This window comes from Homo sapiens, chromosome 4, assembly GCF_000001405.40.
Source record: "Homo sapiens chromosome 4, GRCh38.p14 Primary Assembly".
In the NCBI taxonomy this organism is placed as follows: Eukaryota; Metazoa; Chordata; class Mammalia; order Primates; family Hominidae; genus Homo; species Homo sapiens.
Window position 1 is genome coordinate 75,963,228 of NC_000004.12, and position 16,997 is coordinate 75,980,224.

General features: G+C 39.3%; 1 protein-coding gene across 5 annotated transcripts in view; it reads right to left on the reverse strand.

The window, feature by feature from the left end:
* The window catches only part of SDAD1 (SDA1 domain containing 1), a 41,031-nt gene that overhangs the window by 13,313 nt on the left and 10,721 nt on the right, over window positions 1-16,997 (reverse strand). For 3 of the 5 annotated variants that reach the window (NM_018115.4, NM_001288984.2, XM_005263102.5), the window contains exons 4-14: window positions 14,419-14,529; window positions 12,697-12,768; window positions 12,517-12,617; window positions 10,849-10,906; window positions 10,090-10,164; window positions 8,130-8,231; window positions 7,082-7,151; window positions 6,069-6,172; window positions 4,050-4,107; window positions 2,537-2,595; window positions 908-984 (exon numbers count right to left, since the gene is read on the reverse strand). In NM_018115.4, coding sequence (NP_060585.2) covers window positions 908-984; window positions 2,537-2,595; window positions 4,050-4,107; window positions 6,069-6,172; window positions 7,082-7,151; window positions 8,130-8,231; window positions 10,090-10,164; window positions 10,849-10,906; window positions 12,517-12,617; window positions 12,697-12,768; window positions 14,419-14,529 — 887 coding nt within the window. Of the gene's footprint in view, window positions 1-907; window positions 985-2,536; window positions 2,596-4,049; window positions 4,108-6,068; window positions 6,173-7,081; window positions 7,152-8,129; window positions 8,232-10,089; window positions 10,165-10,848; window positions 10,907-12,516; window positions 12,618-12,696; window positions 12,769-14,418; window positions 14,530-16,997 lie in introns of those variants that run through there. The other 2 variants (NM_001288983.2, XM_047415888.1) reach the window with 2 other exon arrangements.

Genomic DNA, 16,997 nt, shown 5'->3' on the forward strand with positions numbered 1-16,997 from the left:
TCTGTTCTGTTCCATTGGTCTCTATCTCTGTTTTGGTACCAGTACCATGCTGTTTTGGTTACTGTAGCCTTGTAGTATAGTTTGAAGTCAGGTAGCGTGACTCCAGCTTTGTTCTTTTGGCTTAGGATTGTCTTGGCAATGTGGGCTCTTTTTTGGTTCCATATGAACTTTAAAGTAGTTTTTTCCAATTCTGTGAAGAAAGCCACTGGTAGCTTGATGGGGATGGCATTGAATCTATAAATTACCTTGGGCAGTATGGCCATTTTCATGATATTGATTCTTCCTATCCATGAGCATGGAATGTTCTTCCATTTGTTGGTATCCTCTTTTATTTTGTTGAGCAGTGGTTTGTAGTTCAAAGAGGAGAGACTCTTAAGAAGTGATTAGGCCTAATGTTGTTATCTTGGGAGAAGGTCCCTTATCACCAGTGAGTTATAAAAAAGTGAGTTTGGCCCTCTGTTGGCTCTTGTGCTCTCTTCCCCTTGTGCCTTCTGCCAATGATGCAGCAACGAGGCCCCCACCAGGTGCCAGACAGACACCAATGCCATGCCCTTGGACTTCCCAGCTCCAGAACTAGGAGCCAAATATTTATTTTATTAGCAGTACAAAGTTTACGGTGGGAGATCAGAAGAAAAGCACTTAGTTTGCTAATCAATTATTCATCTGTAAAAGTAAAACTGCTAAAAAACAAAAATGCTAATTAGAAGGAAAAGTATCTTTTCTCTGGCTCCCTTCTCAAAATTCTGACCAATAAAAAAATTATCAAGCCTCCCAAAAAGACTGAAATATATTTTAAACCAATTTTATAGAGGTGATACTACCAGCTACAATCTTACATCTTGGTAACTTATAGCAAATCTAGTCCATTAAACAATGTATCTTCTGCCTCCAACCAGATTCTACATACCCTACTGTCATGACTTCTCCAGAGTTCTTGTCGGTAACAAAATTGTTTGCCACAGTCATAAGCAATGATTGAATAATCTGAATTGGAAACAAAAAAGAGATGGGTGCTGATTAAATGTCTGCATACACAAACACATAAGAATGAAAGGACAATAGATTATTCATAGTGGAAAACCCAGCCTTCCACCTTCAGTTTAGGAATTGGAAGTAATCAAGATTAAGGAAGACAGAAGAAAACACTCCACTTAGGAATTCAGTGTTTTTCTTGGCTATCCTCAGACTAAATCAAAGAAAGGAATTACTCTATAAATTTACTAATATTCTTGACCTCCCCTAGTTATACAAAATTTGCTTATTAAAGAAAATCAGAATTCTAAACAACTTGTCTGAAAGAAACTTCTTTTTATGAGACGTACAACTGAACTTCTGTGTAGATCCCCTTAAGAGTTAGTGTCTCTTCTATCTATTAAAAGAAGAAAACGGTGAGGGAAGGGGGGACAGTAACCCTTGTGGGAAAAATGACCCTTGTTGTGGGAAGTCAGAGACCCCGAATGGAGGAACCAGCTGAAGCCATGGCAGAAGAACATAAATTGTGAAGATTTCATGGACATTTATTAGTTCCCAAAATTAATAATTTCTTATGCCTGTCTTTGCTGCAATCTCTGAACATAAATTGTGAAGATTTCATAGACATGTATCATTTCCCCAATCAATACTCTTGTGATTTCCTATGCCTGTCTTTAATCTCTTAATCCCGTCATCTTCATAAACTGAGGATGTATGTAGCCTCAGGACCCTGTGATGATTGTGTTAACTGCACAAATTGTTTAAACAATATGAAATCTTGAAAAAAGAACAGGGTAACAGCGATGTTCAGGGAACAAGGGAGATAACCATTAGGTCTGGCTGCCTGAGAGCCAGGCAGAACAGAGCCATATTTCTCTTCTTTCAAAAGCAAATAGGAGAAATATTGCTGAATTCTTTTTCTAAGCAAGGAACAGCCCTGAGAAAGAGAATGTGTTCCTAGAGGTAGGTCTCTGAAATGGCCGCTCTAGGGACATCTGTCTTTTAAGGTTGTAGATAAGGGATGAAATAAGCCCCGGTCTCCCGTGGCACTCCCAGGCTTATTAGGATGAGGAAATTCCCGCCTAATAAATTTTGGTCAGACTGGCTGTCTGCTCTCAAACCCTGTCTCCTGATAAGATGTTATCAATGACAATGCGTGCCCGAAACTTCATTAGCAATTTTAATTTCGCCCTGGTCCTGTGATCTCGTCCTGCCTCCATTTGCCTTGTAATATTTTATTACCTTGTGAAGCATGTGATCTCTGTGACCCACACTCTATTCTTACACTCCCTCCCCTTTCGAAAATCACTAATAAAACCTTGCTGGTTTGGAGCTTGTGGGGCATCACAGAACCTGCCGACATGTGATGTCTCCCCTGGACGCCCAGCTTTAAAATTTCTCTCTTTTGTACTCTTTCCCTTCATTTCTCAGACCATCTGACAAGAAATAGAAAAAAACCCACGTTGAATTATCGGGGGCAGGTTCCCCCGATAGACCCTGAAGTACCTAACAGTAACACTGTCATCCATGCCCTAGGTCCAGAAGTCAGGTTACAGGTTCTCACCTCTGGGGGTACTAGGTGATGAGATGCTTGTGCAGCAAACAGAAGGATCTTGGTTACTTCTGAAAACATAAGAGAACAGAAAGGTCATGGTCAGTGTATCACCCTGCCTCTGAGGACCACAGCAAACATGGCAAGCTCATTCTGGTCTAAATGGTATTGCTGCGTATTCCACCTGGAACACTCAATCCCCAGATATCTGCTTGGCTTACCCCCTCACTTTCTTCAGGTCCCTACTCAATAGCTGCCTTATCAAAAAGTCTCTCCTGACCACACAATGTAAAACAGAACCCGTCCCGACACTCCCTATTGTCCTTATCCTGCTTCCTTTTCCTTCAAAACACTTATCTTTACCTGGACATATTATATATAGCACATCTACATCTGCCTCCAGATGTAAGCCATGAGGGTAAGGACCTTGTTTTACGTTTACTGTGGAATTCGTACTGTCTTAATGCAGTGCCTGGCATAAAAATCATTAAATAAATACTTGCTGAATGAATGCATACACACACACACACACACACACACACACACACACACACACACACACTGTCTCTTTTCAAAGGGGCAGCATAGCATAGGTAACAAACAAGGCCACTGGCAAAAGAAGTGAGGTGAATCCTGATTTTCCATTTATTTGCTGAGTGACTCTAGTCTTTTTTTTCCCTCTCTTTGTATACCTCACAAGATTAATGTGAGGATTAGACAAAATGACGTATGTAAGGCACTTAGCACAGTGCTTGGTCCATGTTAGATACTGAATAAATGTTAGTTTCCTTCCTACTTTGGTTCAGGTTCAAAGACAAGAACAATCATCTCTTCTTTCCTGCTTTTGTGTTGTTTTTCATTGAGAATGCATGCAAGGTCAATGTGAGCAGTGAGATCAAATCTTAATATCTATTATGAAGATGCAATAAAACGTCAATTTTTTAAAAAAGAATTTTCCATGAGTATTTACAGTATTACAAGAAGACTTGCTTTGAGAAACCAATTTGTTGTTGTTGTTTTCTTTTCTTTTCTTTTTGAGACAGAGTTTTGCTCTGTCACCCAGGCTGGAGTGCAAGGGCACAATCTCGGCTCACAGCAACCTTCGCCTCCTGGGTTCAAGCGATTCTGTCTCAGCCTCCTGAGTAGCTGGGATTACAGGTGCCCGACACCACATCCGGCTAATTTTTGTATTTTTAGTACAGATGAAGTTTCACCATGTTGGCCAGGCTGGTCTTGAACTCCTGACCTCAGGTAATCCACCCATCTTGGCCTCCCAAAGTGCTGGGATTACAGGCCTGAGCCACTGTGCCCGGCAGTTGTTGTTGTTTTAAAAAAACAATAGTTTCTTAAAGTTGAGGGTAACGACAAACCCATAGCAAACTCTAGAAAGAAAACAAGGGCTTCTCTTCACATCTCTAATGTAGAGCACACTGCACTCCTGTCTTTAGTGATTCCAGAACAAAAGACTTTGCATGTTTATTCTATTACCAAGGCCACCAAAGAAACATGGCAAGTGGCAGCTTACCTCTTTGGTGGGGCTGCAGAAACCTTTGCAAAAAGGGATAGAAATTGAAGAGGAAAAGCTGTGGAGAGAAAACCGACTTTAATACTGATGCAGCTGACACTATGGAGTTCCATTTCTTCTCAATGCAAACATATCACCAAGCTCAACTAATTGCAGAACACTTTTGTTTTTTTCTCAGTAAGCAATCATGCCCTAGGATGATTCAATATGCTATATTAACCAAGGCTAGGAATTCTCTCAAATGAGGCTATGCTGCTATCCTTATTATGTAAAGGAGGAAGCAAGTATATGCAGAATGAACTAGAGGAAGGAAAGGTAAACAAAATGTAACATTCTTCTACTCTTAAAACTGGTGTGGCTGCAGAAACTAACTTTTTAGTGTTCTAAGGAGAGGGGATTATAGGAAGGAACAGCATTGATACCAAGGCTCCAAAACAACAGACAAGATCGGAATTCAAATCTGAATAGCACCGAGTATAATTTAATCAGCAAAGCTCACTCCTGGTTATATTCTTGTATACCAGTCCAACCACGTGGAAGGAGTTGGGTCCAACCACATGGAAGGAGTTACTCTGTGCACCATAATTCAGAGGGAAAACGTTAACACTCTGAAGTCCACCTAAACAAAGGTGACCAGGGTTATTAAGGAAATGGTAATGTTTAATTTCAAGAAGAGAAACTGGAAATAAACTGGTCTTTTTCAAGGTATATCAGTTAGGTGGGAATAAACTAATTTTTTCTATTTTAGCCACAGAGCAAAAGTAGGATGGGCCACTGAGAAGTTGCAGGGAAGACTTTGGTTGAACATAATGATGGATGTTCAATTGTAGTCAGTTGTGAAACTCCAGTATCATTTCCCTCAAACCACGCTTAAATCACAAATCACTTTTTCTTTCCTGTAGAGCTCAAACTCAGTCTGAATGAAATTGCTGCACAAATGTAACAAGAATTGATCCTACACTGGGACTACAGCCATGGAGAAAAAGCAATGTAGTCAGCAAAATGTTAACAGGTTTTTCTCAGAGAAAGGGAACAATTACTTTCACTCATGTGTACTTTCATTTTCAACGTGATATATGTCTATATTGTTTGAAAAGTGTTTTTCTTTTCTTTTCTTTTGGTTTTTTTAAATGGATGTTCAGAGCAGCACCAGTCACGAGATCAAAATGATAAGGAAAAACCTTAATGGTCATTTCTTCATGGCTTAAATTTCTGGGTATCTCTTTTTCTACAATGGCATCTAGTCTAACAGTATGTGTAAAGTTCCCATATATATACCACTGAGAAACTCTTGCAACTAACATTTGTAAACATGACAATTTCCTACTAGAGGGATCTGGAAGTCAGGAAAGCCAAGAAGAGTTAAACAAACAGTGAGATGTAGTAAGTCAATTAAAATATGTGCATTATATTGGCTCAAGAAAATGTGTATGCGTAACAAAGTGAACAAAAAGAAAGTAAAAAAGCAGAACAGGCCAGGTGCGGTGGCTCATGCCTATAATCCCAGCACTTTGGGAGGCCAAGGTGGTCAGATCATGAGGTCAGGAGTTTGAGACCAGCCTGGCCAATATGGTGAAACCCCGTCTCTACTAAAAATACAAAAAAACTAGCCAGGTGTGGTGGCATGCGCCTGTGTCCCAGCTACTTGGGAGGCTGAGGCAGGAGACTCACTTGAACCCAGGAGGTGGAGGTTGCAGTGAGCCGAGATTGCGCCACTGCACTCCAGCCTGGGCAATAGAGGGAGACTCTGTCTCAAAAAAAAAAAAAAAAAAAAAAAAAGCAGAGAATAAAATAGCCTGTCCATAAATGGAATATATGTACAAATTAACATCCACATTACTGCAAAGAAAATGAAGTGATAAAAATAGTTATTTTCAGAGATGTTACTCTTCTGTAAATTTTATGTGTTTAAATGTATGAGGGATAAAATTAAGCCACTGCTCTACCTAATGGCTTTTCTTTTACCATGGTAAATTCTACTTCAAATATTCACCAAGAGAAACATAATATAATTCAAACCTCATGAATTCCCACCAATCTGGAGATAAGGTTCATGAGCATCATCTTCACTTCAAACCTCTCCTTACAGCACTCAAGCTGCTTTAGTAGTTTTTCCGCAAAATCTGGCAAGGAGAGGATGAAAGAAGTACATTGTGAGTCTATGGTCTATGTGACATTTATGTAACAGGCGTAGGAAAAGACAATAGTTAGATCAGTGAATAGACTGACAAACAGGTGAATATGTCAATATATGTAATGGTGCCCAAAGTTAAGTCTTAATAATTCCCAAGTTTTTTAGCATCAACATCTAGAGTGACTGTTTGACAGGTGCTCGCTTCACTTAATAGCTCTCTAGATCCTTGCTTCTTAAAGGGGTAGTCCACAGACCCAGCAGCTGCTGGTCCACCGGGGAGGCTCATTGGAAATGCAGAAGCTCAGGCCCCACCTCCCCAGGTGATCTGTATCTACATGCAAGTTTGAGAAACACTGATCTAGAGCAGGGGTCAGCAAATCTTGCCATACATTAGAGTACTGAGAGCCCCAACGCCCAGCTACACCCCATACCAACTAAATTAGATTCTCTGGAGATAACAGGACCCAAGCATCAGTACAGTTTTTATAAATTCGCCAGGTGAGACCAATGTGTGGCCTAGTTTGAGAACTAGTGTTCTCGAACAAGGTTTCCCAGATTTTTGGTTTCCACAGACTAGGTTTTTTTTTTTTTTTTAAAAAAGGACCAACAAAAGACTGCCAGTTTATTTGGTCAAGTACAATGCCCTATTACAATTGTGTTGTTAAAAACATGAATCTCAGAAACATCCGTTTTTCCATATTTTTCTTGTTCTGCGATAGACTGGGAATCACTGCTTTAGATGACAATTTTGTAGGTTACAACCAACTAGTAACAACTAAGCATTTATTGACTATCTACTAAATGCCAGGGATCTTATATTCCCTGAAAACCCCAAAGGCAGGAAATAAAATAGGCAGAGATAAGGCCAACAAGGAACTCGGACGTCATAATAACGTACCTTGGGGATCATGAATCAAGTGAATGGCTGAAAAGTTAAACACCTCTGGTTTTTTCTTCTTTTTTTGTTTCTGAAAGGGAGAGGAAAAACATTTTCAGTCTGAGTTACAGTGATGATGCTCTTAGAACTTAATGTGCTAATAAGGCTGTTATAAGTCCATTAGACTCTTTAAAAAGAAAAAAAACTTTGTTCTAAAAACCTTTTCAACTAGAAGAATTAAAGTTGGTTTTTGCCTTTTAAGATTAAATGTGGGGAATGTGTTCCAACCATTAGCACCTATGAGACTTACAGGAATTTGGAAATGCAAACATTAATAATATGGTTTGGCTCTGTGTCCCCACCCAAATTTCATCTCGAACTGTAATCCCTGCATGTCGAGGGAAGGACCTGGAGGGAGGGACCTCGTGGGAAGTTATTGGCTCATAGGGGCAGTTTTCCCCATGCTATTCTCGTGATAGTGAGTTCTCACAAGATCTGATGGTTTAAAAGTGTTTGGCAGATCTCCTGTAGTGCTCTCTCCTGCCACCATGTAAGACATGCCTTGCCTCCCCTTTGCCTTTCCCCATGATTTTAAGTTTCCTGAGGCCTCCCCCACCATGCAGAACTGTGTGTCAATGAAATCTCTTTCCTTTATAAATTACCCAGCCTCAGGTTGTTCTTTATAGCAGTGTGAAAACAAACTAATACAATTAATAAACACACAAGGGCCAAATTAATGACTTTCAAAATAATCATTACAAAAATATGAAATGTACTGCATTTATGTACTCTTCTGACAAAACATGTCTAGCAAAGATACCATAATACAAGCCACCTTGATCAGAACAAGTAAAAAGTGAATTTAATTAAACTAATTTATCCAAGTCACTGATTTTGCTAGAGCTGAATACATTTATTCATCTAAAATATTAGTGCTTAAAAATTTATCTAACATTTCTAAGTATTCTGAAAATGGTACTCTGATTTTAAATTCTTAAAAGCTCTGGCTAACGACAACATATTCTTCACTCTAATCACTCCTATCTCATTTTCCAGATACAAGTCCCACCTTGAGCACTTTCATTGCCTTTTCCAACTTTTTCTTGTTTTTGGAACTTTTCTTCCCTGTAGCATATTGTACTAGCAGGTCTCTTGCTGTTGGTCCATCATCCTAAAGAAGAAATTACTTTGTAAAATTGTAAACAAGGAAAATCTGCATAGAATGAAAGAGTAAACCTTTCAGCCACTTCTTCGTTCTTATACTCTTTGCACACAGCTATTAAAAATGAATACTACTTTTAGACTGGGCGCAGTGGCTCACGTCTGTAATCCCAGCGCTTTGGGAGGCCAAGGTGGGTAGATCACTTGAGGCCAGGAGCTTGAGACCAGCCTGGCCAACATAGCAAAACTGTGTCTCTACTAAAAATACAAATACTTAGCTGGGCTTGGTGGTGCACACCTGTAATCCCAGCTACTCAGGAGGCTGAGGCAGGAGCATCACTTGAGCCCAGAAGGGGGAAGTTACAGTGAGCTGAGATCACGCCACTGCACTCCAGCCTGTCTCAAAAAACAGGAAAAAAGAAAATTAGGTGGAAAAAATATGCCCACATGTGCACAAACAGGTACATACAAAGATTTTCACTGTAGCACTATTTTTTTTTTTTTTTTTGAGATGGAGTCTCATTCTGGCACCCAGGCTGGAGAGTTATGGCACAATCTCAGCTCACTACAACCTCCACCTTCCAGGTTAAAGTGATACTCCCACCTCAGCCTCCCAAGTAGCTGGGATTACAGGCACACGCCACCATGTCTGGCTAATTCTTGTATTTTTAGTAGAGACGGGTTTTGCCATGTTGGACAGGATGGTTTTGAACTACTGACCTCAAGTGATCTGCCCGCCTTGGCCTCCCAAAGTGCTGGGATTACAGGTGTGAGCCATTGCACCCAGCCCTCATTTTTCCTTTAAAAACTGTTGTTGACAACCCGCTTGGGTCCCTTTCCATGCTGTGGAAGCTTTGTTCTTTCATTCTTCACAGTAAACCTTGCTACTGCTCACTCTTTAGGTCCGTGCCATCTTTAAGAGCTGTAATACTCACAGTGAAGGTCCGCGGCTCCAAAAAAAAAAAAAACACACAAACAAAGACTGTTGTCTTCCTTTACAAATATGTACATAGTTTACTATGGCATATGTATTCCCACTGCCCTATTCTGAAATAAGTATCATTTGCTTTTAGAGAGTTTCTCTCTTTTTGTTATTTAGGTTGCCATTTACAATAAAATGTATTAGTCATATACTGTTTAAAAGACGTTATCACATATTCCAGTACTTTGGTTACCAAAACACTAAAATGGGGAAGGATAATTTTTTTTTTTTTTTAGAAATTCTTATTTTAATATTTTATGCCATCATGAATCTTGATTTTTTTTTTTTCCTCAAAAACATGCTGGTGATGGCCAGGTACGGTGGCTCACGTCTGTTATCCCAGCACTTTGGGAGGCCGAGGCGGGTGGATCGTGAGGTCAGGAGATCAAGACCATCCTGGCTAACACGGTGAAACCCCATCTCTACCAAAAATACAAAAAATTAGCCAGGCGTGGTGGCGGGTGCCTGTAGTCCCAGCTACTCGGGAGGCTGAGGCAGGAGAACGGCATGAACCCGGGAGGCAGAGCTTGCAGTGAGCTGAGACCACACCACTGCCCTCCAGCCTGGGCAACAGAGCGAGACTCCGTCTTAAAAAAAAAAATGTTGGTGACAATTTTCATCCTAAATTTACATAGTGAGATATAGGTATAACTTTAGAACTAAGATCAAGGTTGAATAAATCTGTTTTATTAATTATATAACCAAGATAATCTTACTGAATACAAGTGACAAATTCCAAGTAGAGTAAAATAGCATGGCAGAATTCAATAACAGGGCAAAGGTGTCATCTAAGTTTCTTTCTAACTTCAGCAGTCATAGACTTTACAATGTGTACTCAGAGCAATAATAAAAGGTAAGATTCAGAAGCAGCTATGATTAAACTAACCTCAGATTCGGAGTCACTGTCCTGTTTTTCATCTTCATCTTTCCCAAGAAAGAATGTCAAAGCGGCAACTAATATCTAAACACCAATGAGAAAAAAGTCAGCTACTTGATTCAGCTTAAAATAAAGAATAAATCCTTTTGAGTATGCTTTATACATGTGCATGAACTAAGATCTGAAGAACAAATTCAAAGAGTGGTGGGATTTTTGTTCATTTTTTCTTAATTAAAAGTTGTTTTATGTTATTTCTCTAATAAATAATTTTAAAAACTAGATAAAAACTGCTAGGCTCTATATAGTTATCCTTCAAGACTGTCGAGAATTTCTACATCCCCTATAAGAAAAGTGACATTGCAGTTCTTCTAACAGACAAAAGTCAAACATTGACCTTAAATTTCTTTTAGCAGTGCCGAAGCCCAACGGAAGTCAAGAATCACAGGAGAAAACAGTAAAAAACCACTGAGGCTATCATTTATTACATAGCAATTTAAAAACTCATAATTCTATTGACTCTTTTAAAGTTCAGATGACCCAGGAAAGCAGTATAGGAACAAAGAAAGCATCACTTAACATAAACTGCATGCCTGCACATCACTGCATGCCTGGTGTGCAGGCATGCAGTTTATGCTGAGTGATGCTTACTTCTAACTGCATGCCTGGTGTGCAGGCATGCAGTTTATGCTGAGTGATGCTTTCTTCTAACTGCATGCAGAAGCAGACCATCCACAGACAGAGCTTACACACAGCCCTATAGGTGCTCACCTTGGTGACCTTAGAGAAACATGCAGTTGTGATAACATTGACAGTTTTTGCATCATTCCTGGGGGAAGACAATGAATGCTTTGAAGTAAATTTTCATTCTACTGTATTTCATAGCACAGACAATGGCACAAAATAAATGATATAACAAATGTTTGTGACGTACTAGAATTCCCAGTTGTAATATTTTAAAAAGATACGAGTTGCTAAATTACTTAACCACAGGTAAAACATTTCATCAGATTTTAGCCCAGACTTACGACAAAATTTGCAGCCATTAAGACAGACTATTTAAAGAATTTTTAATGACGTAGGAAGCTAGTCAAGTGCAAAAAAAAAAAAAAAAAACAACAACTGAGAAGATCGGGGACAGTGGCTCATTCCTGTAATCCCAGCACTTTGGAGGGCCAAGGCAGGCAGATCACTGGAGGCCAAGAGTTCCGGTCCAGCCTGATCAACATAGTGAAACCCCATCTCTACACAAAATACAAAAAATTAGCTGGGCATGTGCCTGTAATTCCAGCTACTTGGGAGGCTGAGGCACGAGAACTGCTTGAACCCAGGAGGCGGAGGTTGCAGTGAGCCAAGATCACACCATTGCACTCCAGCCTGGGCAACAGAGCAAGACTTTGTCTCAAAAAAACAAACAAACAAAAATAATCGAGAATTTAAAAACTATAATATATAGGCCGGGCGCAGTGGCTCACGCCTGTAATCCCAGCACTTTGGGAGGCCGAAGCGGGTGGATCACGATGTCAGGAGATTGAGACCATCCTGGCCAACATGGTGAAACCCCGTCTCTACTAAAATACAAAAAAAATTAGCCGAGCATGGTGGTGCATGCCTGTAGTCCCAGCTACTCGGGAGGCTGAGGCAGGGGAATCGCTGGAACCCAGGAGACAGAGGTTGCAGTGAGCCAAGATCATGCCACTGCACTCCAGCCTGGTGACAGAGCAAGACTTTCTCAAAAAAAATTAATAAATAAATAAAAATTAAAAAAAATAAAAACTGTAATACAGAAAAATTTCAACCATATTTAAAAATTCACATTAAACAAAAAAGACTGGGTGGAAATACCATAAATACTAACAGTAATTGATTAAAACCACTTTTTAAATTTCTCCAAATTTTCTGCTGTAATGAATATTACTTTTATAGTAAAAAAATGTTAGTCAATAAGAAAAGCAAAAGAAATGAGTTAGGGACACTGTATCAACAAACTGAAGTGTACGAAGCATGATATTTTATATAAATAGGATGAATTGACTTGAAAATCTTCAGAGCGGCAGAAGAGAGAGCACAGATTTTGGAGTCAGTTAGATCTGGGTCTGAATTTCAGCTCTGCCTCTTAATAGCTAAACTTTTACTAACTCTAAGAACTTCCATGTCATTACTTATAAAATGGGGATAATTCCAGATAAGCTACATCTTCTGTTCTCAAGTTGTTCTAAGTGAGGTCATGTCAAAGTGCCCGACCTCAGTAGCTGCTCAAGAAATGATAACCAATGTCATTAGTCATTTGAATTGCCTCTATTTTTACTTCCAACTTAAATCTATGACATAAGTATATTAAAGAGCTCAAGCTCAAGAAAAGTATTTGTATATGTGCTCTGTATTAATTACAAATGAAAAAAGAGTCTACTTCTCAAGAGACAAATATATATACACTACCAGATGTTCCTTCTGTAGAGTTCAATCATTACATCTAAAGACATCTTGGCTGCGGTTGCATTGCTATCTCTTAACATGGTGTACATGAAATTTTGCAATACCTGCAGAAAAGGAGGAGAAAGAAGACTTAATGCACTGATGGTACAATGCTGCAAACATGGAAGACAGAAGAGTACTTACTACATTCACTTTATTGTTCTTGTGTTTTGCATTTATATTCTTGATATCAGTCACAATATGTGTGTATAAAGTCTGAGGAAAAGAAACAAAAATATATACATTAAACCTAACCAACATTTTTAACCTTGCTAAATTTGGAGAACAGTATGAATGTACAGGATGACTTAATTTTACCTATTTTTCATTCTATCCCAAAAGAAACCCAAACCAAGCAAACAAACAAAAAAGCAACTACAAAGCAAAGCAAAGTTGTCCTCAAGAAGTTAAACATGGAGTTTAATGTAATACGGCACAATTCTCCTAGGTATATATCCTAGAAAATGAAAACATCAGTGTTCACACAAACATTCATAGCAGCCTTATTCATAGTGGCCAAAAAGTGGAAATAACTTAAATTTCCACTAACTGATGAATGGATAAACAAAATGTGGTATATCCATACAATGGAATATTATTTGGCAACAAAAAGGAATAAAGTACTGATACGTGCTACAACATGAATGAATCTTGGAAACATTATGCTAAGTGAAAGAATCTAGTCACTAAAGACCACATATTGTTATGATTCCACTTATATAAAATTTCCAAAACACACAAATCTATAGTGACCCAAAGTAGACTGGTGATTACCTAGAGCTAAAAGGGATGAGGAACAGGATTAACTACTAATTGGAATAGAGTTTCTTTTGGGGGTGACAAAATGTTCAAAAATTGTTTGCAGTGATGGTTGTACCACGCTGTGAATACACTAAAAAACACTGAATTGTACACTTTAAGTGGATGAATTTTACATAAATTATATCTCAATAAAAGTGTTATTAAAAAAAAAATGCTCCAATTTACCAAGCACCTAACTGCATGCAGGAAAATACTGTGAATGCATATATCACTGGTGCCCACACCATGCTCCCATGGACCACTTTTATTCCACAAATTAGACCAAGAAGTACAATTGCTAAAATCAAACAGTGGTAGTCTCTTAATACTTTGAAAAAAATTTTAAATTAATGAATGTAAACTTAAATTTTTCTTTCCTTTTTTTCTTTAAATACAGCAGTGGTCTTGCTGTGTTGCCCAGGCTGGTCTCAAACTCCTGGACTCAAGTGATCCTCCCACCTCAGCCTCCCAAAATGCTGGTATTGTAGGTGTGAGCCACAGTGTCCAGCCAAGTTTCTCCATCTTAAATTTCTTTCATAAATCTTCAGCTTCTAGTCTTATATAAGCAAATGCAAAATCATGGGAAAATGTTAATAACAACAAAAAAGTTTTTTGTGGGGGAGTGGGTCAGTTATAGCTGTGAGTACCAATGTCCTGATTTAGCCAGCCAGTATGGTGCAGTAGTAAAAGGCTTGGGTTCTGGAACCAGAGCCTGGGCTTATATCCAATCCCACCACTAAGAAGCAGTGTGAGAGTGGGCAAGTTACTCTATCTCTCTTTAACCTCAGCCCTTTCATCTGCAAAGTAAGAATAATAATAATGAGGATCCCTCTCTCATAGGGCTTTGTGAGTAAATGAGTAAATACACAAAGCTCTGAGAATGGTGCCTGGCACAAAGTATGCACTCAATAAATATGGCTATTAACACCATATAGCATGCACACAATGGTTGCTTTTTCCTGTTAAAGTTATTATTAACAATGTAAAGCATCGATAATTCAAGAGACAACAAAATTTTATGTCGCCTCAAGGAAGATGCAGGGAAATATTTGTTTTGCCCTTTACCTTTCGCAGAAGTTTATCATGGCAACGAAAAAGTTCAAAGAAGAGTTCTAGCAGGCTTGATGGATTGATGAGATTCTTATTTCTCAGCAAGATCAAAGCTTTGCAAAATGTCTCGGGAAGGAAAAAAACATACCATAAGACAATGGTAAAGTTAACAAGGTGAGAAAATACAGCGTATATGTCCCAAGACCTTAATGTCTTTTACTAACTAGACACTATTGTAGGATTCAGAATAGTCAGTCTCTGCCTTCATGGAGCTTACACTGGGGATAGAGCAGAACGGAGGACAGACAAGCCAAGTAAGCATATAAAAAGGAGGATCTAAGAAAATAAGTGTCATGAAGGAAGTAAAACAGGGTTATGTAATTGATCAACAGTGACTGAGGGAGGGCCACAGGGAGGTCAAGTAAGGTCTCTTTGTAGTGTCATCATACGGCAAAACCCTGAATCCATAAAGACAGGTGGGATAACAACATAATACACTAAATTGGAATAATCAATGAGAGTTTATGACCTTACGAGGCATTCTTCTGAAGTACCATCAGCACTAAGAATGGCTCAACAGCAGTTGTTGCATGCCTGCCCCCCGCCTTTTTTTTTTTTTTTTTTTGAGACGGGTCTCGCTATATTGCCTAGGCTAGTCTTGAACTCTTGAGCTCAAGTGATCCTGCTTCAGCCTCCTGATTAGCCAGGACTGTAGGTACCCAGCTATTTTTTTTTTTTTTTCTATTTTTAAGAGATAGAGTCTCATTATGTTGCCTAGGCTGGTTTCAAGCTCCTGGAAACTTCTCAAATGATGCTCCTACTTCAGCCTCCTAAGTAGCTGGGATTACAGGCATGAGCTGATGCGCCTAGCAGCTGTGGCACTCTTGCTTACCACCAACTCTTACATGTAGCCCTATCACCCAAATTTTGTGTTACCCTTCATTAGATGAAATACAATCCTTGAAGAATAGTTGATTCCAAGTCTTGGGGCAGGAAAAACGGTAAGAATGAATTTGGAACTATTTCTGCCAGAATTCAAGGATGCTTTCAAAAACAAGGGCAAGGCTGGGCATGGTGGCCCACACCCATAATCTCAGCACTTTGGGAGGCTGAGGTGGGAGAATCACTTGAGGCCAGGAGTTCAAGACCAGCCTGGGCAATGTAGTGAGACCTTGTCTCTACACAAAAAAAAAAAAAATTAGCTGGGTGTGGTGGCACACACCTTGTGGTCCTAGCTACTTGGCACGCTGAGGTGGGAGGACTGCTTGAGCCCAGAAGCTTGAGGCTGCGGTGAGCTAAGATCGTACCACTGTACTCCAGCCTGGGCAGCTGAGTGACAGACCCTGTCTCAGAAAAAAAAAAAAAAAAAAAAAAAAAAAAATTCAGGGAAATTGCTAAAAGGACTAAGAAGCTTCCCCTGGCAAGGTGGTGACAATCTGAACATAAAGTAATTAAAATAATAATACTAAAAAAAAGTTTTAAAGTACATAAAAAGGTAGTTATAATGTCAATGAAATACATATAACTTGACTTTTATTGATTTGACTAAGTAGGTAAGAATTACTATATATGGATATTTTATTTCTTCCAAAAAAAATACAATGTTTCTATCTGTGTAAGCAGGACAGAGTGAACAAAATCTTGGGAATGATTCAAAAAGTCTTGGAAAAATAGCAAATACACCAGGTAGAAAGATAGCCCAGTGGCTGATAAGAATTGTTGGTTATCCCAATAACCAATTAAAAAGAGCTTCTTCCAGTGTGTTCAATGCTTCCTCTAAAGAGCAATGCTAACTATACAGACGCAATCCTTTATCTCCTAGTAAAGGAAATCTCTATTATTATTATTATTTTTTTTTTTTGAGACAGAGGCTGGAGTGCAATGGCGCGATCTCGGCTCACTGCAACCTCCGCCTCCCAGGTTCAAGCAATTCTCCTGACTGAGCCTCCCAAGTAGCTGGGATTACAGGCACGCACCACCATGCCCGGCTTATTTTGTATTTTTAGTAGAGACAGGGTTTCTCCATGTAGGTCAGGCTGGTCTCGAACTCCCGACCTCAGGTGATCCTCCTGCCTCGGCCTCCCAAAGTGCTGGGATTACAGGCGTGAGCCACCGCGCCTGGCGGAAATCTTTATTATTTTTTAAAAACCTACTAATCATCATAAAGCACTATAAAGAAATATACATACACATTTTTTTCCATTTAAAAAAAAATTTAGAGGTGGGATCTTGCTATGTTGCCTAGGCTGCAGTGTAGTGGCTATTCACAGGCATGCTCATACCACACCTCAGCCTCAAACTCCTGACCTCAAGCAATCCTCCTGCCTCAGCCTCCCAAGAAGCCGGGACTACAGGTGCACCTGGCATATATATTAATTTAATAATGCCCACAGACCAGTTTGGTGGGGTACTGCCAGGAAAATAAAACTTAAAGAAATCCTAATTACTTGGAAAGCCATTAAGTCTCTATACTCAAAATATCAAATCTCTATGACCTACAAGGACTTCAAGAGTAACATGACATAGGTAAAAGCCTTTAGACTAGGGGTTCAAGTTTGGAGTCCCTTGGGCTATACTGCCAGGTCCCATGTACC